The sequence below is a fragment of the Homo sapiens genome, chromosome 3 (assembly GCF_000001405.40).
Source record: "Homo sapiens chromosome 3, GRCh38.p14 Primary Assembly".
Lineage (NCBI taxonomy): Eukaryota > Metazoa > Chordata > Mammalia > Primates > Hominidae > Homo > Homo sapiens.
This window is the reverse complement of record NC_000003.12, coordinates 12,933,402-12,956,299: the sequence shown is the minus strand read 5'-3', so window position 1 is coordinate 12,956,299 and position 22,898 is coordinate 12,933,402. Positions and strand designations below refer to the sequence as shown.

Here is a 22,898-nt window from a genome sequence, read left to right as displayed (position 1 = left end):
GTTCTGTTCTTTGCGTTGGGCCTTGAATTTTGGTCCTGTGTAAGCATCATAGGCAAACATGGATGCCGTCAATAGGCAGGAAGAGAAGGGGTGGCCCAGGTGTGGGTGGGCGATAAGGAGTGGTGGGGACTGTGGCAGTGGTGGGGACTTTGGTGGTGACAGAACATGTGCTGTCTGATGGATGCGGCTGCCACCTCGCTTTGTCTGACTGTTATCAAGTGGGAATATGGACCCAGGGTGGTCAGGTCCCCAAGATGAGTCCGAAACTTAGATTTTCATATAAAATCTTAAGTTGCTGAAATGTTAGTGATTCGTTCTAGTTTTTGAAACACTGTTTGGGCCACAGAGAGCATGTTTTGTGGACCAAGTTGGGCCAGGGGCTGCCAGTCTCTATTGGAGACCTCGTGAACCCCCCACACAGAATCTATCTTCCAGAGAGCTCCGTGCAGTCCGAGGTCTCCTTATGGGGAGCAGCTGGGCAGGTGCCAGGTCTCCTGACCAACTCTCCCAGGGGCAAGGCCGAGGGTCCCTGAGGGATGGGCCTCATCCTCACCTTGGCCCTGGCCCGGTGGCGCTCGGGAGAATAAAGGGCTTTGCCCAGCCCCTCTCTTTAAAGGCTGCCTGTCCTGGGGTTGGCTGCAGGATTGGCGTTAGGGGTTGACTTTTCCTGTTTTAAGCCTGTTACCCTGGTTTGGTGCTCTGGTCCCCAGCATGTGGGGTGAGATCCTCGGGCAGATTGGGGCCCCTCTGTGGCACTGATAGTGATGCCTGTTGTAGTGACACCTCACCAGGCAGAGGCCCTGGCTGGGGTTGATTGCAGGGTGTTGGCATCGGCCCCCTATCCAGAGCCTCACAGCCCCCCTGCCAGCTGGCTCTCGGCCCAAGTGAAAGTGCAGGTTGCCAGCCTGCGGAGCCAGTCTGCCCCCTGCTTCCTTTCTGAGGCTCCGCCAATGCCCGGCCCAGCCCGGCAGGCCTCCTGGGACTGTGGGAGGGTGGGGTAGGCACAGGGCTGAAGCAACACACAGAGAGCTGAGCCCAGGGCATTCTCAAGGGGTGGGGCTGATCTTGGTAGTTCAAGTTCCTTGGTGACTTGAGGCCTGCAGGACAGTGTTTTCAGCACAGTGAGCATGTGTCTGTACGGTGGAGAAACTCACAGTTTCCATAGTGGTTTGGTGTCTCCACAACCCAGCTGCAGAGCAGAGGAGGGCTGTGGACACAGCTCCAGAGTCACGGGGCTCTGCCAGGCTGGGCTGCGCATCAGCTATGTGACTGTTGAGCCCCTGTTCTCTCCAGGCTTCGGTGCCCCCACCTGTAAATGAGAGAGCAGCAGCCCTGCCGTTGGCCTGTGGAGTTGCGGGAGAAGAAGACAGCCAGCCAGCTGTGCCTTGGCACTGAGGACCCGTTCTGCCCCGCTCTGTGGCTTTCCATCCTGACTGCGGGGCATCCTGTCCTGACCCCTTTGTGTTAGGAGTGCTGGCATCTACTCCCAGGGTTGTGCAGGTCCCCAAGTCACTAGCAGCATCATTCATTCATTGAGCAGATTCAGACTGAGCGCCTGCCATGTGCCCAGCCCTATTTAGGCACTGTGGAAACTTCAGTGAGGAAAACAGACAGACACTGCCCTTCCCGAGCTGACCTCCTCAAGGGGAGAGACAGAAATAAAAAAGCAGGATAAAAGATGGAGTCAGATATGGAGCCATGCTGTGAGGAAACCTAACTTGGTGTGATAGACAGCGGAGATCTGGGGAGATGGTCCCTGCAAATCCCTCTTTTCCTTCCCTCCTGCTGAGGGGAACCCCTCTCCCCCATGTTTGCCACGCAGCCCCCATCAGACGCCCTGTGCTGCCATCCACATGCCCCAGGGCCTCTCCCAGCCCTGGGCTCCACACTGCCATTGATCCACAGCCACCAAGGCCCTCGGGCTCTTTCCCATGCGAGCCCCTGAAGCTGTGAGGGGGGAGGGAGATCTGATTCCAGGTTCTAGGGGCTGCCCTCTCATCCCCAGCCTGTCTCCTGGAACCTGCATTCTCATCTCCAAAACCCACTCAGGTTCCTGGGCTCTTTGAGTGAGAGAGGGTCTCACAGCAGCCGTGGAGGGTGTGGCCTGGCCCCTGCAGGCTGACGGTACTCTTTATGTTTGGGAGCGAGGCCTGGGCTGGGGAGGCTGGAGCCATCACCTCCCTGGGGCCGGAAAGACTGCCTTTGACAGGACAAGGGCTGCCTTGGCTGTGTGGCCCTGGGTTCACAGGACACGGAGACCTTTCTTTCTGTCCCCCACCCGACTACGCGCTGATGAGAACCAGCCATGTCTGAGGACCAGAGGTCTCTCCTGAAATAATTACCCTCTAATTAGGCATGGCATTAGCTGTTGGTGGGGCTTCCTGGAACACTCTCACTGACTCCACTGTGATGCTGTGAAGGGGCGGCCTTGCCCCCACTGTGCAGGTAGGAAACCAAGGCTCAGAGAAGTTGGGGTTCCAACTCAAGTGTTGGACTCTAGCCCATAATGTTACTGTCACTCCTGTCATGACAACATTAGGGTGGTAGATGCCTGACGGAGCTGTACAGAGCATTCGGGACCAGAGGGCAGGGGCAGTGCGAAAAACTGCATCTTCCTTCATGTGGTTGGGTGGCCTGAGAAGCCCCCTGTACGCTGACTGCTGCCCGACTCCTCGTGCCGTCTGCCCATCTCTCCAGCAGCTGCTGACACATAGGGAGATGCTCAATGTTGGATCAGTCAGCAAAGCTCTAAAAATAGCCTCCCGCTTTGAAAAGTTCATTGTTCGAGTCCTATATTTTTCTATATATATAAAAGCCACTTCTGGAGGTCTGGGTGACAGTCGTTAAAGATAATGCTGCAGCCTGAGGCGGACCTGGGCCGGGCCTTATCGGGCCTCAGCAGGGCAGGCCTGAGGCCAGGGCGGGGGCATGTCAGTGAGGCCGGTCTCCGCCCAGGCTCATCTTCTCTGGAGGCAACCGGACAATCAGCCTCAGTGTCCCTCGCGGATCGGGTCGGGCTGCCCCGGCAGTTCCAGGCTCTGATGGGCCATTGGACAGGTCTGTCTACGGCGCACGGAGACCAAGAGGCATGGAGACAGCGCTGTGGGTGTGCTCCCTGCAGCCAGGCACAGGGTGGGAGACATTCTCTGTTTCCCCCTGGCTTGCTCAGTTCAGACCTAGCTTCCTGAAACTGTCCCTGGCTGAGCCCCACCTTACTGAGGGGATGAAGGATCAGGCCCTATCAGCAGCTGACTGGCCTCCCTTCCTGCCCCTCAGAGAACAGTGAGGCCCCAGAGGAGGATTTCTGCCTCCGGTGGTGTGCCCACCCACGAGCCCGACCTCTTCCTCCGGCCAGGGTCGCTGCCTGTCACCATTCAGATATGCTCAGGTCTCTTCCAGCTCAAACCACATGCCTTCTTGGAGCCCTCATCCCTCTTCTGCCACCTCCCCATCTTCTCCTCTTCCTTCTCAGCCACATCCCTCCAGTTATCTTCAGAGACCTGGATGGAGTGAGGGAGGGAGCCAGGCAGCCTGGGGGAAGTCCGCTCTGAGCAGTGGGAACAGCACCTGCACAGGTCTTGGGGTGAGAGCGTGCCAGAGCGGAGAGGAACAGCCAGGAGGCCAGGGGGCTGGGCTGGAGTGGCCAGGGGGTTCAGAGGAGGGTGGCAGGAGGAATGGCTGGGTCCTGCAGAGTCTCCTGGGTCCCGCCAAATGAGAGGAGAATGTGGTCAGGGTTGTGTTTTCACAGGACCTCAGTTGCTGGGTGGAGAGGGGCGGGGTGGGGTGGCATGTGAGGCTAGAAGAGCCTGGAGAGGCCATGGCAGTCACACAGGGAAAAGATGAGGGCCACACAGGCTGGCAGATGCGGGCTCTGTGTTGAAGGCGGAGCAGCCCGATGTGCTGACTGATGGGGAGGAGGGTCTGAGAAAGAGTTGCCAAGAGTGACGCTCAGTGAGCAGCTCCAAGGACCCCAACTGCACCCCGCTGAGATGGGAAGGCTGTGGGGAGCTGGCCTGGTGTAGGAAGCTCAGTTTGGAGCCTGAGGTTGGGCTGTCTACTAGGCCTCAAAGGGGCAGTGCCTGGACAGCGGGATGTCCGGTTTCTTGGGTTCCTCTGCAATTCCTGGATATCCTCATTTCTCCAAACCTGGGAACTGGGTAAACGCAGAAACCCTCCTGACCCCCACCTTCTCCCGCCACGCCCTGTAGGGGTGACTTCTGTATTGTCCCGTTTTAGATATGGTGCTCCTGGTTAGCCAGCGGAAGTCACATGGGATGTTTAGGTGGCCGTCACTTTGTGCCAGTGCTTCCTGCAGACTCTCGCTCTAAATCTTTCCATGTGAGGGCTCCATCTCCACCAGCCCCTCCGTCCCAGACCTTGGCAGCGTCTGGAGGCTCTGAGCACGGGACTCAACATCTGTGCCCATTACGTGTGCTCCTCCAGGGCTCACTCGTTCCCTTTCTGTCCACCCTCCCTAGGTTTCCACTGGGGGTGCTGCGACCTCACCCCTCCTCCTCACCACCCGGTCATGTTCATCCAAACCCTGCCTGCCAGGGGAGGCGACCAGCATTGCTGGGCCTCATCTAGGAGGTCCTCACCCTACTGCTCCCTAGGAAGGACCTCAGGAGTCCATAAGTCTTTTTGGTCAACAGCCAGGCATCATTCTCCTAGAACTGCGTGCCAGGCTGTAAGGCTTTAGGCATCAGTGGGGATGCTGCCTCCGCTCAAGACTAGAGAAGTGGGTATGGCTGACCGGCACTAGAACAGCCTCCCCTGGGAAAGCCCTCACTGTTCCTGTCTTGCTGGCTACACCAGCTCTATGTCTCTTCTTTTATTCTAATTTTTTTTTTTTTTGAGATAGAGGTTCACTTTGTTGCCCAGCTGGAGTACACTCCGAGTTTCACTCTGTTGCCCAGTGGTGCAATCTCAACTCACTGCAACCTCCGCCTCCCGGGTTTAAGCAGTTCTCGCGCCTTAGCCTCCCGAGTAGCTGGGATTACATGCTTGCGCCACCACACCCAGCTATTTTTTGTATTTTTAGTAGAGACAGAGTTTAACCATGTTGGCCAGGCCAGTCTCGAACACCTGGGCTCAGGTGATCCATCCTCCTTGGCCTCCTAAAGTACTGGGATTACAGGCGTTAGCCGCCATGCCCAGCCCTTTTATTATAACTTTTTAAAAGTTTTTTAGAGGCAGGGTCTTGTTCTGTGGCCCAGGCTGGAGTACAGTCATGTCATCATAGCTAACTGCAGCCTTGAACTCCTTGTGGTCAAGGGATCCTCCTGTCCCAGCCTCCTGAGTAGCCAGGACTACAGGCAAGAGACACTGCTCCCAGCTATTTAAAAAATTTTTTTGGCCGGGCGCAGTGGCTCACACCTGTAATCTCAGCATTTTGGGAGGCCAAGACGGGTGGATCACGAGGTCAGGAGATCGAGACCATCCTGGTGAACACTATGAAACCCCGTCTCTACTAAAAATACAAAAAAAAAATTAGCCAGGCATGGTGGTGGGTGCCTGTAGTCCCAGCTACTTGGGAGGCTGAGGCAGGAGAATGGCATGAACCCCGGGGGTGAAGCTTGCGGTGAGCCGAGATCACGCCACTGCACTCCAGCCTGGGCAACAGAGTGAGACTCCGTATCAAAAAAAAAAAAAATTTGTAGAGATGGAGTCTCATTATGTTATCCAGGCTGGTCTTCAACTCCTGGCCTCAAGTGATCCTCCTGCCCTGGCCTCCGAAAGCACCGGGACTACAGACACTTGCCATCATGCCCAGCTAATATTTTTAAAAAATGTTTTGTGGAGACAGGGTCTTGCTACGTTTCTCAAACTGATCTCAAACTCCTGGCCTCAAGCAGTGTCCCACCTCGGCCTCCCAAAGTGCTAGGATTGCAGGCGTGAGCCACCACAGCTGGCCAACTTTATGTCCCTTCTTTGCACATTCGGTTTTCCTTTGAGGTCCATTTCTTTGTATCCTTGCATTCTGCTCCTTGGGGCCAGGCTAACTCTTGGGGACTGCAGTCCCGAGAACATTCCAGAATGGGAAGGACTAGAAGAATGACATGGATTTGAATCTTGGCTCTGCTCTGTGGTCTGCAGTCCTGGGCAAGGATCACAGTGGGCCCTTCTTGAGCCTCCATTTTCTCATATGGAGAATGGGAAGAGCAGTGCTTTCTTGACAGGCTTGTTGCAGGGGTGAAATCTGTGTACTTAGCTTGTGCTGGGCTCCCCCGTCGCATAGTGGCATAGTGGGTGAGCATACGTGTGGGTGACCCAGCCCCAGCCACATCAGCCCAGAAAGACTGATTTTTCCAGACCCTGCTTGAACACCTGCACTAGCCCTTAAAGCAGCCCCTTCTTAAATTGCTGAACTGTTCAAAACTGCTAGCTGTCTGAAGCTCCTGCCCCTGGCCTCACAAACCTGCCTGTTCTCTCTGCACCAGGACCACCCTGCAGAGACCTGGCAGGGGTGGCGGCCACCTCTCTCCAGCTGTGCCATCCCTGCTCTTGCTCAGAGGATGTGCCCCCACCCGCCCCCCAGACCCTGCCTGGCTGTGTCCCATCCCTCCCCGAGACGGGGGCATAGAGGTGAAGATAGCCCTGTGCAGAACAAGACCATCCCCTTCCTTCCTCTGGGTGACTAACCTTGGTTAATGTGGCCTAGGCAGAGAAGAGCCACAGAAAGCCCCAAGAGGGAGCTTGTGAGGGCTGGAAATGAATTGTGCCTGCCCAGTCTAGGCTCCCTTTCTGGAAATCAGAAACCCTGAAAGCAGAGTATAGGGGAAGCCATGAGGCCTGGAGGCGTGATGGGCATACGTACTTCAGGAGGCTGTTTTGCTCTGGCCTGTGCAGACTGCCAGGAGTCTGGCCTGAGGCTGCTGGCATGGACATTTAACCACAGACAGGCTTTCAAGATTGCCTGCTTCCTCTAGCATGGGGCCCGGCCCCCTCTGAAGAGGGTGGCTTTGCCATGTGATGTGGCCACCCTCTGGCCACACGTGGCTAGGCTTATTTCTCTGATTTATCTCATAACTGTGCACAACCCCAGGACCCCTAGGCTCTGGACCCAGCCCTGTCCAAGCTGCCAGCAGCATGCTTTTCCCCTGAGCAGCTGGGCAGGAGAGGCATGGTGTGGGGTCAGGTCCCACACAACTCTGTCTTATACTCACAACCTTGACTTGGTGACTCAACTCTTCCATCCCTGAGTTTGTCATCTGCAGAAGGGAGCAGTCCTAGCTACCTCCCAGCGACGGTGGTTGAGTTACAGGTCATGTATTTTAAACACACCCACCACGGCATCTTGTACCTGGCAGGTTTGTGGAGAAGTTGCTGCTGTATAATTCAGACCCGTGTATACTTGTGTTTGCGTATGTATATGTGTGTACATACATGTGTGTTTGCCCTCTCCGTAAGAAGTTGCATGAACACAATGGGCAAGTGTTCGGGCGTCCTGGCCAAGCTGCCCATATGCCCTTGGGGATGGGTGCCACCTTTCCGTGCCTGCAGGGTATTGAGAGCACTGAATGTGTTCCATATACAGCTTAGAACATCACTAGCCATATAGACATTCGCTGTTACTACCATTGTCGTTGTCGATATTGGGGGTGAACAGTGGGTCACTGCTTTCATCTTGTACCCTCACTGGTGCCCAGAACCTCCCCTGGCTAACATTTTTCTTGAGAAAAGTCATTCATTACTTCATAGGCCATAATTAGAGACATCCGTGGCTGAGAGGCCACAGCCCCCCAGCCCTGACTCATTCCCTGGCGAGTCGGGACGTGGCATCCAACAGGTCTGGGCTGAGGGGCTGGGGTTGGACTGTCTGCCTTTCTCACCCATCCCCATGAGCTCCCCAGTCCAGGGAACAGGCCAGTGGAAGGTGTCTGGGTCCAGGTCTCCCTCCACCCTGGGGTCAGGCTCTCCAGCCTGGAGGTGGGTGTCTCGAAGAGAGGGTCTCAACAGCAGGCAGGGTGCAGGGCAGGTGACCCTGGCTTGGGGCACTAGGCTTGTCTGCCCTTCCTGCCTCCAGCTGCTGGGGCTTGTAGATCAGAGAATAACCCAAGACAGCCATTGAAAAGTGCTTTTTAAGAGCCAAGCACTTTCTTAAGGACCTCACTGTATTAATTAGCTCCACTAAGTCTTCACAGTCCTGTGAAGTAGATACACTAATTACCCCAATTTTAGAGGAAGGAACCTGAGGCACAGCATTAATTCCTCCTGTGGTCACACAGCTGGTAAGCAGTAGAGCTAGAATTCCACCCAGGAGCCTGCTTGGCCCCTTGCTTGGCAGAAAGCCTGGGTGGGGCGGGGCAGCAGGAGGAAACTCTTCAAGTTGTGATCTCTATTCCTGCGAGGTGTCCATTGCAACACTGTCCTATAGGGATCTAGCGCTTCACCCAGCCATGTCCCCACATAAAACACCACATACCACTTCCATCACAGGAAAACATGTTTGGAAAACTGGAGAAGGGGGAAGAGCTTGGCGACCTTTCAGTGACCAAAGCTTGGAGTCCCCAGTCTGGGAAAGGAGGGCTCACTGTGCCTTAGCACGTGATGGGCTCTGGGGCAGAGTGTGGATGCATCCACATGCAGCTCCAGGCCCTTACGTGCTCTCTGGCCCTGTCCTTGGCCTGTCCCACCACCAGGGGCCCATCCAGGACATACAGAACTCATCTCATGGGAAGGAGCAGGCCTCCTGCTCATGGCCATTCCCATCTTTGCTGGAGGCCAGGGCTTTGGGGGATGCTTGGGCAGTTGTCTCCCACCCTCACAGAGCAAGACTCCTCCATGGTGCAGATGGACTGCACACGAGATCAGGTGATCCCCGGGGTGGGGAAGAGTGTGTGGGGTGAGGGTGGCCTTGTGGAGGAAGTGGGGTTAAGCTGAGACCTCGGTGTAAAGATGGCAGACTCAGACAGGTCATATGGCCCTGGGATAGAGGCTTCCAGCCAGGATTGGAGTCCCTTGTACCACCTCTCTGACGGGTGTCTGACCTGCCGCAGCTTGCACACCTCCAGTGACAGAGAACTCACCACCTCCTAAGCAGCCCTAACCACATGAGAGTGTACTTCATCACGTCGGGTATTGGCAGTCATAGTTCTGCCTGCAGGAGAAATCTCTAGCCTCGGCTTGTCAGCCTGTCAGAGGCTTGATGATGGGGATCACATCATCTCCCCGAGGCTGCTTTCCTCCCGGCTGCACAGCCCCAGCTCTTGATAGGAGCATACTGTTATACTGCTTCCTGGCATACTGTTATTTGGCCTTGGCAAATAGAGTCCATCTCACATGCTAGCTGGGATCAGTTGTATGGAGTGCTGTGTTGGAAGGAGGCTGAGGCTTCATCCAAGCTCTTTAGGAGGGAGTCTGTGATCAATTAGCAATGTCTGCCAGGGAGGAGTGGGTAGGGCATGCAGGTGTCCCAGGTCTGCTGTCCCTGCCCTCAGGCTCTGGACTGTCTGTGCAGCCCCCAGACACTGTCTTCTGCTGTGTCTGAGAACTGTGGCGGGCAGCAGGGCTATTTTTGCTCCTGGCTTTTTATTCATGTTGGTGACTGGCTTCTCGGCCACATCATGACATCAGCTCACATTCATCTTATAGTCCACAAAAAATCCCCAAGGCTTTTTCATAAGAACAGCCATCAAACTAGATCTTTACCCCATTTTGATGTTATTTCCAGTGTGTGGATACAGAATTAATTTCAGTCATCCCCTTGTCGATGCTCATTTAGGTTATTTCCAGATGTTTATAATCAGAAACAACACTGCTGTGGACATCCTCGTATGTACTGCTGCACACATTGGTCTTATTTCCTTTGCACAAATCTATGGAAAGGGGCTGGGCGGCAGCCACCTAACGCTCATAGGATGTTCCAGAGACTCTGAACTGCCAGGAATATTCAGGGACTTGGAAGAGGTGCCTCGGCCCATTCCTTGGTCTGCATGTAGCCCAGGTGTCTGAGAGAGATAATAAATTCAGAGGCGCAGTTAAGGACTCACACTGGTGTGTTCACCAGTCCTGTTCAATGGGCTGGGTTTTTGGGAGAAGCATCCCCAAGGCAGCTACAGTGGGTGGTGAGATGTCCAGCAGCTGAGCTCAAGAGGTCGGGGCAGGGATATAGGAGCCAGTCTGGCTGTTCTCTAACCCAAAAGTCCCACCTAGAGACTCATGTATGCTGGTAAAATGTGACCATCACTTTATAGCCAAGCTCTGTCACTAAGGTATCTGTGTTTCTGCCCTAGAAAGGGAAAGGTTGACATAGGATAGTTCTTCCTGCCCCAGGAAGAAACTGGGTAGAGCTGAGTCCTAATCAGGAAGGTGGGGCTGAGAGCCCAGAGTGTTGCTGTAGAGCAAAACATCTTTACGAGTTCAGCCAGAAAATAGTCAAGCGTCCACATCATTTAAGTTCGATAACTTCCTGTCCTGATTTATACTCCTAGCAGCAGAGTCCTAGAGTGCCCATGGCTGCATGTACTTGTCAATACTGGGTATTTTCACTTAAATTGTATTTTTATTTATCAGTTCAGATAAACTCAGAAAAGCCACTTTTTTAGGGTCTAATACTGCACTGCGTAGTTGCTGATTGGGGCCATCAAGAGGTGATGTCCTCTGGCTCAAATGGGTTCATAGCTATGTGGAAAATTCCACACTGTGCTCACTTTTGTCCACGTTTGCTGAAGAATCCTGTGGTGCCACACTGGTTGCAGTAGGATGGCCCAGCCATTTCTTTTTTTTGGGGTGGTTTGAAGTTGGGTTTGATTTTTTTTTTTTTTTTTGGAGTGTGGAAGGGCTGCCACATTGCACAAGCTGATGCTATTCAATAGACTGGACAGGACCCGGTGACAGATTGAATGGGGGCGTTTGAGTCGGGGGAGGGATTAAACTGATGACCCCCAGGACCCTGGCTCCAGGATGGAAGGGAAGACTGTGGGTGACTGTCAGGCCTTCCCTTCCTGGAGAGGGAGGCCCGGCCACTCCCAAGCATGTTCTGGACCTGCTGACCCAGGGCAGCCAGGAACCCAGGAGTGCCCAGAGCGGAATCCTGGGCTGCCACAGGCCCAGAAAGTCTGCCCCAGGCCACCACCATTGCAATCCTATCCCCAAAGATACCCTGCCCCGGGGCCCAAAGCCACCCTGAACTACCAGCGCCAGGCACTCCCATCTCCTGCCCATTCTGAGTTCAGTGGCTGCCGCCTGATCTCTTTCCCCAACCCCCTCTGCCCCACACCGCGGCCAACTGGGAACAAAGGCCCCTCTCAAGTTCTCAGGCAGGCCTGGGCCCTCACTCACCCCCAACCATCAGGGAAGGATGCCCTGCTCTGCCTGCTCACAGTGGTTTCAGGCCAGGTTAGAAAGGGCTTGGTGAAGGGTGGAATTCCTTCAGACTTGAGGTGAACATTGCTCCTCCATCCTGGGTCGGGGGCAGCACAGTGAGGGTCCCACACTCCCCTCCCTGACGGTGCCTCCCAGCAGCTCAGCAGCAGCCTGTGGGCCACCAAGGGGCTTCCTGCTTCAGCTCCAGGGACCTGCAGGGAAACTGCTTGTCTGTCTCTGTGCTTCTGTGAACTTAGGGTGATGAGATTGTTTTGAATCCTCCTCTTAGGAGCGGAGGCCCGGCTGCATCTCTTTAAGGACCAGCCGTTGTTCCCTGTGATCTGTGCCTGGAAGCACAGATTTGGCGCCTGACTGAAGTGCTTCCAGTCCCGGGCGTGTGTGATGTGCCCTCGGGCTGCAAAGACGAGGCGAGCCGGAGGGAGGTGCACAGGCCTGGAGCAGAGGCGTGGGCTCTGGGGTCAGACAGGAGGGAGGTGCACAGGCCTGGAGCAGAGGCGTGAGCTCTGGGGTCAGACAGTGTGGGATGGGCTTCCCGGCGAGGCCAACGCTCCCCTGCAACCTGAGGCTCTGGGGCCTGAAGTCTGAGATGGGGACTCATTTGCTCCTTTGTACAGTTGATTAGGTTGGTGAGTGTTTATTGCGAGTCCCTGCTCAAAGCTTTAGCAATAGAATGGGAGGATTTTCAGATCTGCCTGTTCTCCCCCTCGCCCCCTACCAAGGCACACACACCAGGTCCAAAGGAGGCTGCTGTGGGTGGGGGCTGTAGGGGAGGGGCTTGGGAGACTCTCATGATGTGGAGAATCTCGAAGGGTGGTGTTCCTCAGAGGGCTTGCAGGCATTGAGTCCAGCCCACCGTGTTACTGATAGGGAAACTGGGACCTTGAAGGGAGGGGCAGCCTGCCCTGATTCTCAATCTGATGAGGGCAGAGCCACAGAGGGCCCTGGGACCCCCTCTTCATTCAGGCTCTTCCTCAGGAAGACGCCTCTGTCATGGCCCAGCTCCTGGGGAGTGGGGTGGGCATCCCCTGCCTGACCCCGGAGGCCAGAGCCAGAAGTCATGTCCTAATCTGCAGGCTGGAAAGCAGGTGCCAAGATCTGCAGCCCAGCCCTGGCTCAGGGCAGAATTGGCAGCAAAGGGCCGTCACTCCCTACCACCTGGGCCACTGGTTGTGCCCTCTGCTCCAGGCCGCCTGCTGGGGCCCCCACTCCAGGCTTCACGGGAGCCGGAGACGTCACATTCTGCACTGGGCACTGGGGTCCTGCAGGCCTCGTGAGGAGCAGCAGAGACAGAAGCAGAGCAGAACAGGGCTGGACCCACTGCCCTGGGTCTGAAGGAGGTCTGAAGGAGGCACCAGGAGGGGGCACCGCAGCTGAGTGGGGTCTGTGTGCCCATCTCTCTGCTGTGCCCATCTAGTGGGACCTCCACCCCGGCCCGTGGGAGCAGAGGGTCTTTCAGGGTCCTTCTAGCCCAGGGTTGAGTGATCTGACAGGGACAGGGCACCTGGCAGGGTGACTGGATGTTGTGTTGGAAACTGTGACATAACTCGCTCCCTTCCCTGCTCGTCCTACACTGAGAAGCCACCTGCAGCGGAAACCAGCGTCTGCACACAGTGAAAAGGCTTGCGAGTTCCGAGTCGGGATGAGCTCGTCAGCCCGCCCCGCATGGCCCCACCAGGGGCACTGCTCCCCCATGGTGCTTGGAGATGTCAGAGAAATGTGTGCACATTGCAGGGACAGGAGGTGGTGAGGCGGAGGGGACCACTGGGTCTCAGGGTCCCACCACTTGGGCTTGAACTCTGACTCACCTACTTCCTACCTGGGTCATCCTGGCACCCCCTGTAGGCCTCAGTCTCCTCACCTGAAAAAGGGGAGTCGATGATTCCTCTTTGTAGACTGCTTTTAAGATTTAGAGAAAATGTATATACAGCAATGTATGAGTTTCCAAATTCGCCGTGACACACACCACACACAGGGGCCTTCGACAACAGACATTTATTGTCACACAATTCTGGAGGCTGGAAGTCGGGGATCAGGGCGTAGGCAGGGTGGGTTCCCCCATGGCCCCTCTCCTTGGCCTGCAGGTGGTCTTCTCCTCCTCGGGTCCTCGCATGCTGCTCCCTCTGTGCGCGTCCGTGGCCTCATCTCTGCCTACAAAGACACCAGTCAGGCTGGATCAGGACACCCCAGTGTCCACAAAGACCCTGTTTCCAAAACACAGTCCCGTGCTGAGGTGGGGGCCAGGGCTTCAACACACAAATGTGGAGGGTACAGTTCATTCACAGCAAACACCAGCACAAGGGCTGGCCCCATGTAGGCATACAGTACAGAATCGCTTTTGTTAATTATTGGGGCTTTTCTTTTTTTTTTTAGAGACGGAGTCTTGCTCTGTAGCCCAGGCTGGAGTGCAGTGGCGCAATCTTGGCTCACTGCAAGCTCTGCTTCCCGGGTTCATGCTATTCTCCTGCCTCAGCCTCCTGAGTAGCTGGGACTACAGGCGACCACCACCACGCCCGGCTAATTTTTTGTATTTTTTAGTAGAGACAGGGTTTCGCCGTGTTAGCCAGGATGGTCTCAATTTCCTGACCTCGTGATCCGCCCTCCTCGGCCTCCCAAAGTGCTGGGATTACAGGTGTGAGCCACCGCGCCCGGCCTTTTTTTTAAGTTTAAAATCAGTGGTGTATTTAATGCAGGTGGTAGGAGAAAAGGCGACAGAATTCGCTGAGTCAGTAATTGCTGAGCACCTGCTGTGTGCCAGGCACTGCTCTGGGCTCTGGGGGTGATCAGCGACCCAGTGGCCAAAACTGCTGTCCTCAGGGAGCTGGCATTTGCATGTGGATGATGGACAGTGAGCAAAATCAATGAGGAAGGTATATGGGATGTCAGAGGATGGTGCACTTCACAGAGAAACTGAACCCGAGTGGGTGGGGTGCTGAGTGGAGGGGTTTTGCAGGGTCCTGCCAGCTGCACATGTGGACTCAGCCATGGGGTGTGAGAAGAACGGGCATGGGGGCTCCTCCAGGAGCATGGTGGGGTCACGCCCCACGGCCCGGTGTCGTGTTCAGATTTCCCGCTTACCAGAAGCTTCTCACCTCTCTCTCCTCTGCAGCGTCGAGGGCGAGGCCCCCAGCAGTGAGACTGGCACATCCCTGGACAGCCCCTCAGCCTACCCCCAGGGCCCCTTGGTGCCCGGTTCCAGCCTGAGCCCGGATCACTACGAGCACACGTCAGTGGGAGCCTATGGGCTGTACTCGGGGCCGCCGGGGCAACAGCAGCGCACGCGGAGGCCCAAGCTGCAGCACTCGACCTCCATCCTGCGCAAGCAGGCTGAGGAGGAGGCCATCAAGCGCTCACGCTCACTCTCCGAGAGCTATGAGCTCTCCTCGGACCTGCAGGACAAGCAGGTAGGAGAGCACAGCCCCTCAGGCCACACATGCAAGCGCAGGGCAGCTCTGCCCACCATGTGTGCCCCCACCAGGCATGGTGGCAGATCTCTCCCATAGACTTGAGTTGGGGTGCATGTGGGCTAAGGCTGAGGGCTCTGCCCCAGTTCCAGCTCCACCTGTAGCTGCTCTCAGGAGCCTCTTGCCCCAGCTGGCTCTGGCTGGCGTGTATGAAGGACCTGGGTTGTCTGGCGTTCCTTCTGGGGACTTCTAGAGAGTTGTCTTCACATGAGGCCTTTGCCATGGCCCGGGTTCCATGACCCGCATGGCCCAGATCTGGGGGGCCATGATAGGTGTCTGAGCATGAGGCCCAGTGTCATCGGGACACACTGGGTACGTGGCCGGCCACTGAGGTTCTAAAGACCCAGGAGAGGGCTGAGGGAGGGAGGTCCATTGACAGCATAAATATCACAAGCTCTGGAAAGAACCCCATCGGCAGCCAGCCAGGGGAGGCTGCTTGCTCTATTCCTCCTGGCTCACACCTCCCTGCTCCTGTGGGAAATCCCCTCATTGAAGACTGCACCCCTCCCCCAGGGGCCTTGGCCCTTAGAGGTGGCCCAGACCCACAGTGTGCCTAGGGCTGGGCTTGAGGGAGGACAAGAGGTAGCCTCTCAGGGTTGAGCCAGGAGAGGAGAATCCTGGGGTGCAGAGGAAAGAGCGAGGCCCTGAGCGGTCCCTGGGGAGGCCAAGAGCTCTCGCTTCCAAGTCCCTCCAAGTGCAGGTGCACAGTAGGTGTTTGAATGAGGATCTGAGTGACTGCACAGATGGATGAGTGAGGGGGTGAGTGGGCCAGTGCATGGACAAGCCGCTTAGCAGTTTGAGGCTTCAAGAGAACCCGGGCTCCCAGGCAGCAGTTCTGCAAGCTTGCAGGGGCAGGCTGGGGAGGGCTGTCAGACTCTCCCCAGCTCCTGGGCACTGAGCTCTAGACAGCTCCTCCAGATGCCCAGGCAGCTGCCTCTGCCCCTGCTGGCCCCAGGGCCCTTTCCCGTCTTCCCAGACTCCATGCTGCAGAAGCCCCTGGCCTTCACTCCCACCCACACCCATCCTGTGGCCCCGCCCGCCCTCTGCTTGCTCCCAGATCTTCCTGGTTATCCTTTTTCTTTAAAAACAATTTTTGGGTTGTTTTTGTTTGTTTGTGTTTGCTGGGAGTATAGATTCAAGTTGCTCCCCTTTTTGTCCTTTAAGGAGTAGAGTTCTGGGCCTGGTGTGCCCCAACTTCCTAAGGGAGTGGTGCAGATACTGCCTGGGGTTGGGGGTCGTCCACTCTCTTGACAGGGAAGCCCCCATCAGCCCCTTCCTCACCTGGCTGTCGGTGCTGCCTTGCAACTTAGGCCGGACCGACACAGGGCAGAGCAACCTCTGTTCCTTTATCCGTGATGCCCAGATCCAAAGTGGACCACGGTTTATAGTAAGAGATGTCTGCAACAGAGCCATTTAAACAGAAAGGAGAAAGGTTGGGACTTAATAGAGGCCTTTGAAGAGAATTATATGCTTACTGTGGGCCTAATAGGACTGCAGCTATTCATTTTCATTCCATGCATATTATCTGAACGCCCACTATGCACCAGACACTGTGTTGGGTGCCCATGACCAAGGCGAGGCCCCTGCTCTTGAGCTCCACTGTGGCACAGGAGCTGGACAGGAGCAAGTTAGCAATGCAGAGGCAGTTGACTTCCAGAAAGTAATGCAAACTCTAGGGATTCTAAACATTGGGGAAAGAAATAGGGCAGCTACGGGAGGCAATAGCATTGGGTAAGGCTGGTTGGGAAGACCTCTCTAAGGAGGCATTAGAGCTGGCTGTCCCAGGAAGAGGCAACAGCTGATGTAAAGGCTGCCGAGTGTGTGAAATGGAAAGGAAGGCCTGGAAGAGGTTCCAAAGAGGTAAGAGGGAGGAGGCGACATCAAGGGCCACTGAGCATTTGATGGTCCACTGAGCTTCCTGGAAAGCTCAGCAAAAGTGGGAATGGGACAGATTGCATGGGAATCACCAGATGAAAAAGTAGGGTGCCCGATTCCACGAGGAGTTTTAAGTCTGGATAACACAGAGTCCATTTTAGTGAAAGGAGCCCAAGGGCTAGTCTCCTGTGCTCTTCTGGCCCCTGACCCACTGTGCCCTCCAGTGGCTTTCTGTCCCTGAAGCAGGAAACTTGAGTGGGTTTCAGGTACTGTCCCTGTGTCATCAAGAAGTGACAGTTCTGCTTTGCTGAAGGGCATTCTTCCGGGTTCCTCTTCTGTACTGCTCAGAAGTTTCCCTTGAAGGGACAAGTGAGGGCCGGATGGGGGAGCCCTGGCCACGGGGTCGACTCCTCTATCCAGGAACCATGTGCCCTGGGGCAGCGGCTTCCCTCCGCTGAGCGTCTTCCCTCCGCTGAGTGTCTTGTCCTTGCTGAGAAGTGGGGTAGTGAAACCCCTCGGGAGAGCAGAAGCTGCTGTGAGGTGGCATGAGGGTATGGGGGTCCCCAGCACACATAGTAGATGAGCACATGTTAGTAGAATCTCATCCACTGGGTCCCGGGAAACTTTTCGACCGGGCCTGGCAATAGTTCCATCCCAGAAAGAAGAATGACCCACGGTAAGTTTGGGGACGAGGAAGAGTAGCCCCAGGTCCATGTGTGTCCCCCTGGGGGAGGAACTGCCAGGGGCTCTGGTGAACAAATGCAGAGCCCATTGCTGCCTTCCTGAAGTCCCTTCGCCCCCAACACACACAGGTTTGGGCAGGAGGTCTCAGGAAAACAGGGTGGCTGCGTGGTCTGCGAGGTCCGGAGCCAGCAGGTGAGAAGGCCCTGCGGGGAGCTCTAGGCCTGAGCTGGAGGTCCTCGTACTTGTGCCGCCCACAAAGTACAGTGAGGGAAGAAAGGCTTCCTAGATCCCAGCCTTGGGCCTCTTATGGGCCCCAGGGGCTTTCTAAGCTCCACTCACAACCCAAAAAATAGAAACTTTCTGCTTACAGTTGTGGAAGTGAGGTCATTTCTTGGATGGCGTTCAGTAACAGGGCGAGAGAGAAAACAGACTGTGGCCTGGGATTGGAAAAGTCATTTTGATCTGCTCCCCTCAAGCCCCCCCAGCTCTTCTCCTCCACCCAGCCTGCTGGGACCACCCAGAGCCAGGCAGCACGCATGGGCATGCAAGGCCCTGCGTGGCCCTGAGCCAGTCTCCCTGGTGCAGGCCACAGCCTTCGATTTGCTGGACGTCTGTTTGGCATTATTTCAGTTCTGCGCCTGCAGCTGCCTGCTCTCCTTGACAGACCCCTCGCTCCTCGAGGGCAAGGACCTCCATGCCTCCCATTCCACCTCCAGGTGTGATGTGATGCCCAGCATGTAGTGGCATCTGGGACCATACAGGCAGGTGCAACGCTTTGCCTGGCTCCTAGCCCCACATCACATGCCCACGCCACCCCAGCACCCCAAGAGGCCTGGCTTGGCGGAGAAGCCAATTCCTTATCTTGGCCGCAGGAGTGTGTTCATTGTCCACTCAGGAGCAAGGTGCAGGGAGTGGCCCTCAGGACCGTCCTTGGTCACGGGTGCCTCAGGAATTCGGGAGGTCTGTGTGTCCCGCTGAAGCACCCAGGGTTCACCCCGCCCTCTCCCTGCATGTAGCTCACCCCTCACAGGAACGAGCTGTGTAGGCCAGACGAGCCATCTAGGAATGGCGGTGCTCATGAGGGAAAGCCAGCTCCAGAGCCTGAAGGCCTCTTGAGTATGTGTTGAGTCTCTTCTCTGGGCCACAATTTGCCCATCTGTAGAGCAAGGGAGCTTGGGGGCTTTACGAACTGTAAATCCCTTCCCAGAATGCAGCTGAGGGTCTTTCCAGCCCAGCTGCCCCCGTGCTTGGCATGTGCCAGCCCTTGGCCTCTGTCTCCCAGGCTCACCACAGTCATAGGAGGCAGGTCCCAGCACTACCCCATTTAATAGATGAGGAAACCGAGGAACTGCATGGGCTCAGTGCTTACTCTGGGTCACCCAGCTACCAAGGGGCATAGCCTGGATTAGAACTCAGGCACCTGGCCTCAAAGCCTGCTTCTCAGTGCAGCAAACCCCACAGGTCTCCCTGAAGCTCAGTGACCCATCTGGCCACAAGAGCTGCCTGGTTGATGCTGTGGAAAGGAAATGAGTCCAGAAGCCTGTGGGCCTTGCTGGGATCTTTAGCCTATCTCTTGAACTGTGCATACTTCTTCCAGGGTCTCCAAATGGGTTTCGTTAGATGGCATACCTCAAGATGCACCAGGGCCAGGGGCTTCTGTGACCCAAGACACTGGGGACACTCAACATAGTGTATCTCACTGCCTTTTAAAGTTTCTGAGGCCCTGCATGGTGGCTCACGCCTGTAATCCCAGCACTTTGGGAGGGCGAGGCGGGTGGATCACCTGAGGTCAGGAGTTCAAGACCAGCCTGGCCAACATGGTGAAACCCCATCTCTACTAAAAATACAAAAATTAGCTGGGCGTGGTGGTGGGTGTCTGTAATCCCAGCTACTCGGGAGGTTGAGGCAGGAGGATCGTCTGAACCCAGGAGGCGGAGGTTGCAGTGAACCGAGATTGTGCCATTGCACTCCAGCCTAGGTGACAGAGCGAGATTCTGTCTCAAAAAAAAAAAAAAGAGGTCTGAGAGAGGAAAAACATGGTTGCACTCATTTTAACTTGGTGCTTCTCTGTCCAGTTTGACCTTGGGACTCATATTTTGCATAAGCCCACCAGCATCCCTCAGCAGTTGCTTTGACCAACTTTGGGACCTTCCCAGGTCGCACAGCCACGTGGCTAGGAAGTGGGAAGGAGTTTGGTAAATGTCGCACTGTGCCTACATGCAGTGCTGTTCTCATTCTCCTCTCCCACCCGCAGGTGGAGATGCTAGAACGAAAGTATGGGGGGCGCCTGGTAACCCGCCATGCGGCCCGCACCATCCAGACGGCGTTTCGCCAGTACCAGATGAACAAGAACTTCGAGCGCTTGCGCAGCTCCATGTCAGAGAACCGCATGTCACGCCGGATTGTGCTGTCCAACATGAGGATGCAGTTCTCCTTTGAGGGGCCTGAGAAAGTGCACAGCTCCTACTTCGAGGGGAAGCAGGTCTCAGTGACTAACGACGGCTCCCAGCTGGGAGCCCTGGTGTCCCCTGAGTGTGGTGACCTCAGCGAGCCCACCACCCTCAAGTCTCCGGCCCCCTCCAGTGACTTTGCGGACGCCATCACCGAGCTGGAGGACGCCTTCTCTAGGCAAGTGAAATCACTGGCCGAGTCCATCGACGATGCCCTCAACTGCCGCAGCCTGCACACTGAGGAGGCACCGGCCCTGGATGCGGCGCGGGCCCGGGACACCGAACCCCAGACAGCCCTGCACGGCATGGACCACCGCAAACTGGACGAGATGACGGCCTCGTACAGTGATGTCACCCTGTACATCGATGAGGAGGAGCTGTCGCCCCCTCTGCCCCTCTCGCAGGCAGGGGACCGGCCGTCCAGCACCGAGTCGGACCTGCGGCTACGGGCTGGGGGCGCAGCCCCAGACTACTGGGCCCTGGCCCACAAAGAGGACAAGGCTGACACGGACACGAGCTGCCGGAGCACGCCGTCGCTGGAGCGGCAGGAGCAGCGGCTGCGGGTGGAGCATCTGCCGCTGCTCACCATCGAGCCACCCAGCGACAGCTCTGTGGACCTTAGTGACCGCTCGGAGCGGGGGTCACTCAAGAGGCAGAGTGCTTACGAGCGCAGCCTTGGCGGGCAGCAGGGCAGTCCCAAGCATGGTCCCCACAGCGGCGCCCCCAAGAGCCTCCCCCGGGAGGAGCCTGAGTTGCGGCCCCGGCCCCCCAGGCCCCTGGACAGCCACTTGGCCATCAATGGCTCAGCCAACCGGCAGAGCAAGTCTGAGTCGGACTACTCAGACGGTGACAATGACAGCATCAACAGCACGTCCAACTCCAACGATACCATCAACTGCAGCTCCGAGTCATCGTCCCGTGACAGCCTGCGGGAGCAGACGCTCAGCAAGCAGACCTACCACAAGGAGGCCCGCAACAGCTGGGACTCGCCTGCCTTTAGCAACGATGTCATCCGCAAGAGGCACTACCGCATCGGCCTGAACCTCTTCAACAAGTGAGTACCATGGGTGACCCCTCAGGGTGGGCAGCTGTGGCTTGCTGGGCCTTGGCGGGTGGGCGTGGCTGCATCCTTCCAAGCACGGAGCTTGAGGTCCACCGTGGCCTATGAGCATAGGAAGCTGCCACACAAGGTCGGTGGCTAGGACGGTGCCAGCCTGTGCGCTGAGGCCTAGCCCCTCCTGGGACTGCTGGTGGGGATGGCAACACACACAGGCTGAGCAGGGGCAGAATGGGAGCTTTCTGTGCCGAAGCAACTTGAGTCCCGGGCCCTTCCGTCCCATCCCCCCCAAGTCCGCCATAGCAAGTGGGGTATGTTGGGCCATGCCCTGCGCAACTTTGGATGTCAGGCCTAGGGGTGATGTGGGACACAAAGGCCTTTGAGCAGGGGTATGACCGGTTGTGTCAGTGGGGGGCAGGGGCAGACAGGCGAGACCCAGGGCTGTGTCTTGTGGGGGATGCAGGCCAGACCTGAGGCCATGTCTGGGGGTAGGAGTGCTCAGGGGCAGTTGCTGGCCAGACCCAGAACCGTGTCCTGGATGGAAGGAACTCAGACAGATGCAGGCCAGACCCAGGGCTGTGTCTGGGGGTCTTGGGGAGATGCATGAGTTGGGTTCATGGAGTAGCTGCTCCCCAAGGGGGTCCTGGAAAGGTGCCGTTGACCATCCTGAGAGCAGATCCAAGGAGCGATGGGTATTTAAAGCAGACTATTCTTAGCACAGCCAAAAATAGCAAGAGGAAGGGGAGGAGGGCTGAGCACTTGGCCTGGGGAACGTGCAGGCTCCTGTCCAACCTGAGATTTCTCGTTATTTCCACTCCCTGGGCTACTGGGATTTGGCCTCATCAGATGCTGGCCTGGCACCAACTCCCCTGGGCTGGTGGTTCCTGACACACATCCGGGGAGCCAGGGGCAGACGACAGTTTTCCCAGGAGGTCAAACTAGGGTGATGAATGGCGCAGTGGGACCTGGCCACCTCAAAGCCAGTGCCTGAGCTGGCTCCCTGCTCCGTCTGCCCCCTGTTCTCTCTTCTTCTAGACTGGGGGAGATGGTGCTTTTGAGCCATTCCTGGGACACATGGAAGCACTATCTTGGGATGTCAGAGAGGCCTGTCTCAGGAAGAGCCTCTGGGGAATGGTGCATTCACTTGGGGCCAGTAAGGGGCAATGGCTTACTGGTTTGCTCAGCTAAGAACAAAGAGTCTTGGACATCTCACATCTACCAGGATGCTCTCTCCTGAGCCTGTGATCTGCCTGTGGCTTGCTGCAGAGTACGGCTGCTCTCACTGCTGCACAGGCCACGGCCGGAGCAATGCGCTGGACAGGGGAGGGTTGCATCCTGCTGGCCCACCTGACACGGTCCCTGAAGTCTGTCCCCACTGCTCCTGGGCACAGCCGAGCTCCAGGATCATCTCTCGACCCAGGCCCATGTGCCCTAGAGGGGAGGCTGGGATAACCAGGGGTCCCTGCAGAGTGGACAGGTGGAGGCCAGCAGTGGGGAGACAGGAAACCAGGAAAAACCACCTCCCTCAACCAGCCAGCTTTGGTCTGTGTAGATTCTTTCTTATTCAGTTAACTTTTAATTATCTGTGTAGCACGTGAATACATTCTTCACAGAAAATGCATGCCTTGCAGCTCAGGATAACATCCTCTTGGACTCAGCATGTTGCAGTCTCTCCTTCCAGATTTTTTTCCTGTGCATTTGTGTGCACTTCTAGGAACTCTAGACAGCCATGGTTAAGAACACAGCTTGGGGCTTGCTTGCCTGGCTTTAAATCCTGGCTGTGCCCCATCGTATCTCTATGTCCTTGGGCAGCATAACCCCCCGTCCCACAGTGGCCGCATCTGTGAAATGGCTGATGCCAGGGGCACCCTCCTCCCAGGGCGGTGAGGGTAAAGCGTTGGTCTGTGTGAAGTGCTGAAAGCAGGACGTGGCACAGGATAGGGCCTTACTATGTATTAGCTGCTACTGTTGGATCCTTGCTGACATCACTCAGGGCGCGGGACTGTGACATTGTCTTATGAGGGTATCGCTGGGCTCTACACA

General features: G+C 56.5%; 1 protein-coding gene and 1 long non-coding RNA gene across 33 annotated transcripts in view, besides 7 other annotated features; one reads left to right on the top strand and one right to left on the bottom strand.

The window, feature by feature from the left end:
• The window catches only part of IQSEC1 (IQ motif and Sec7 domain ArfGEF 1), a 386,215-nt gene that overhangs the window by 326,958 nt on the left and 36,359 nt on the right, over window positions 1–22,898 (top strand). For all 32 annotated transcript variants that reach the window (XM_047449348.1, XM_047449340.1, XM_047449347.1 and 29 more), the window contains 2 exons: window positions 14,435–14,729; window positions 19,603–20,852. In XM_047449348.1, coding sequence (XP_047305304.1) covers window positions 14,435–14,729; window positions 19,603–20,852 — 1,545 coding nt within the window. The remainder of the gene's footprint in view (window positions 1–14,434; window positions 14,730–19,602; window positions 20,853–22,898) is intronic.
• Window positions 6,362–6,541: an enhancer, noted in NCBI's record as "active region_19459". NCBI's record gives its function as "activates an Ori minimal core promoter by ATAC-STARR-seq in GM12878 lymphoblastoid cells {active_cell/tissue: GM12878}" and the evidence as "EXISTENCE:reporter gene assay evidence [ECO:0000049][PMID:35858748]".
• Window positions 7,102–7,181: a silencer, noted in NCBI's record as "silent region_14073". NCBI's record gives its function as "represses an Ori minimal core promoter by ATAC-STARR-seq in GM12878 lymphoblastoid cells {active_cell/tissue: GM12878}" and the evidence as "EXISTENCE:reporter gene assay evidence [ECO:0000049][PMID:35858748]".
• Window positions 8,716–9,217: an enhancer, noted in NCBI's record as "H3K4me1 hESC enhancer chr3:12988583-12989084 (GRCh37/hg19 assembly coordinates)". NCBI's record gives its function as "activates a minimal SCP1, AML or CMV promoter by ChIP-STARR-seq in naive H9 embryonic stem cells {active_cell/tissue: H9 hESC(naive)}" and the evidence as "EXISTENCE:reporter gene assay evidence [ECO:0000049][PMID:30033119]".
• Window positions 10,572–11,257: an enhancer, noted in NCBI's record as "H3K4me1 hESC enhancer chr3:12986543-12987228 (GRCh37/hg19 assembly coordinates)". NCBI's record gives its function as "activates a minimal SCP1, AML or CMV promoter by ChIP-STARR-seq in primed H9 embryonic stem cells {active_cell/tissue: H9 hESC(primed)}" and the evidence as "EXISTENCE:reporter gene assay evidence [ECO:0000049][PMID:30033119]".
• Window positions 11,258–11,943: an enhancer, noted in NCBI's record as "H3K4me1 hESC enhancer chr3:12985857-12986542 (GRCh37/hg19 assembly coordinates)". NCBI's record gives its function as "activates a minimal SCP1, AML or CMV promoter by ChIP-STARR-seq in primed H9 embryonic stem cells {active_cell/tissue: H9 hESC(primed)}" and the evidence as "EXISTENCE:reporter gene assay evidence [ECO:0000049][PMID:30033119]".
• Window positions 12,075–12,655: an enhancer, noted in NCBI's record as "H3K4me1 hESC enhancer chr3:12985145-12985725 (GRCh37/hg19 assembly coordinates)". NCBI's record gives its function as "activates a minimal SCP1, AML or CMV promoter by ChIP-STARR-seq in primed H9 embryonic stem cells {active_cell/tissue: H9 hESC(primed)}" and the evidence as "EXISTENCE:reporter gene assay evidence [ECO:0000049][PMID:30033119]".
• LOC105376956 (uncharacterized) overlaps window positions 13,408–22,898 on the bottom strand; it is a 66,549-nt gene continuing 57,058 nt past the window's right edge. Inside the window, exon 5 of the long non-coding RNA XR_940601.4 lies at window positions 13,408–13,476. This is a non-coding gene — a long non-coding RNA (uncharacterized LOC105376956). The remainder of the gene's footprint in view (window positions 13,477–22,898) is intronic.
• Window positions 19,744–20,308: an enhancer, noted in NCBI's record as "H3K27ac-H3K4me1 hESC enhancer chr3:12977492-12978056 (GRCh37/hg19 assembly coordinates)". NCBI's record gives its function as "activates a minimal SCP1, AML or CMV promoter by ChIP-STARR-seq in primed H9 embryonic stem cells {active_cell/tissue: H9 hESC(primed)}" and the evidence as "EXISTENCE:reporter gene assay evidence [ECO:0000049][PMID:30033119]".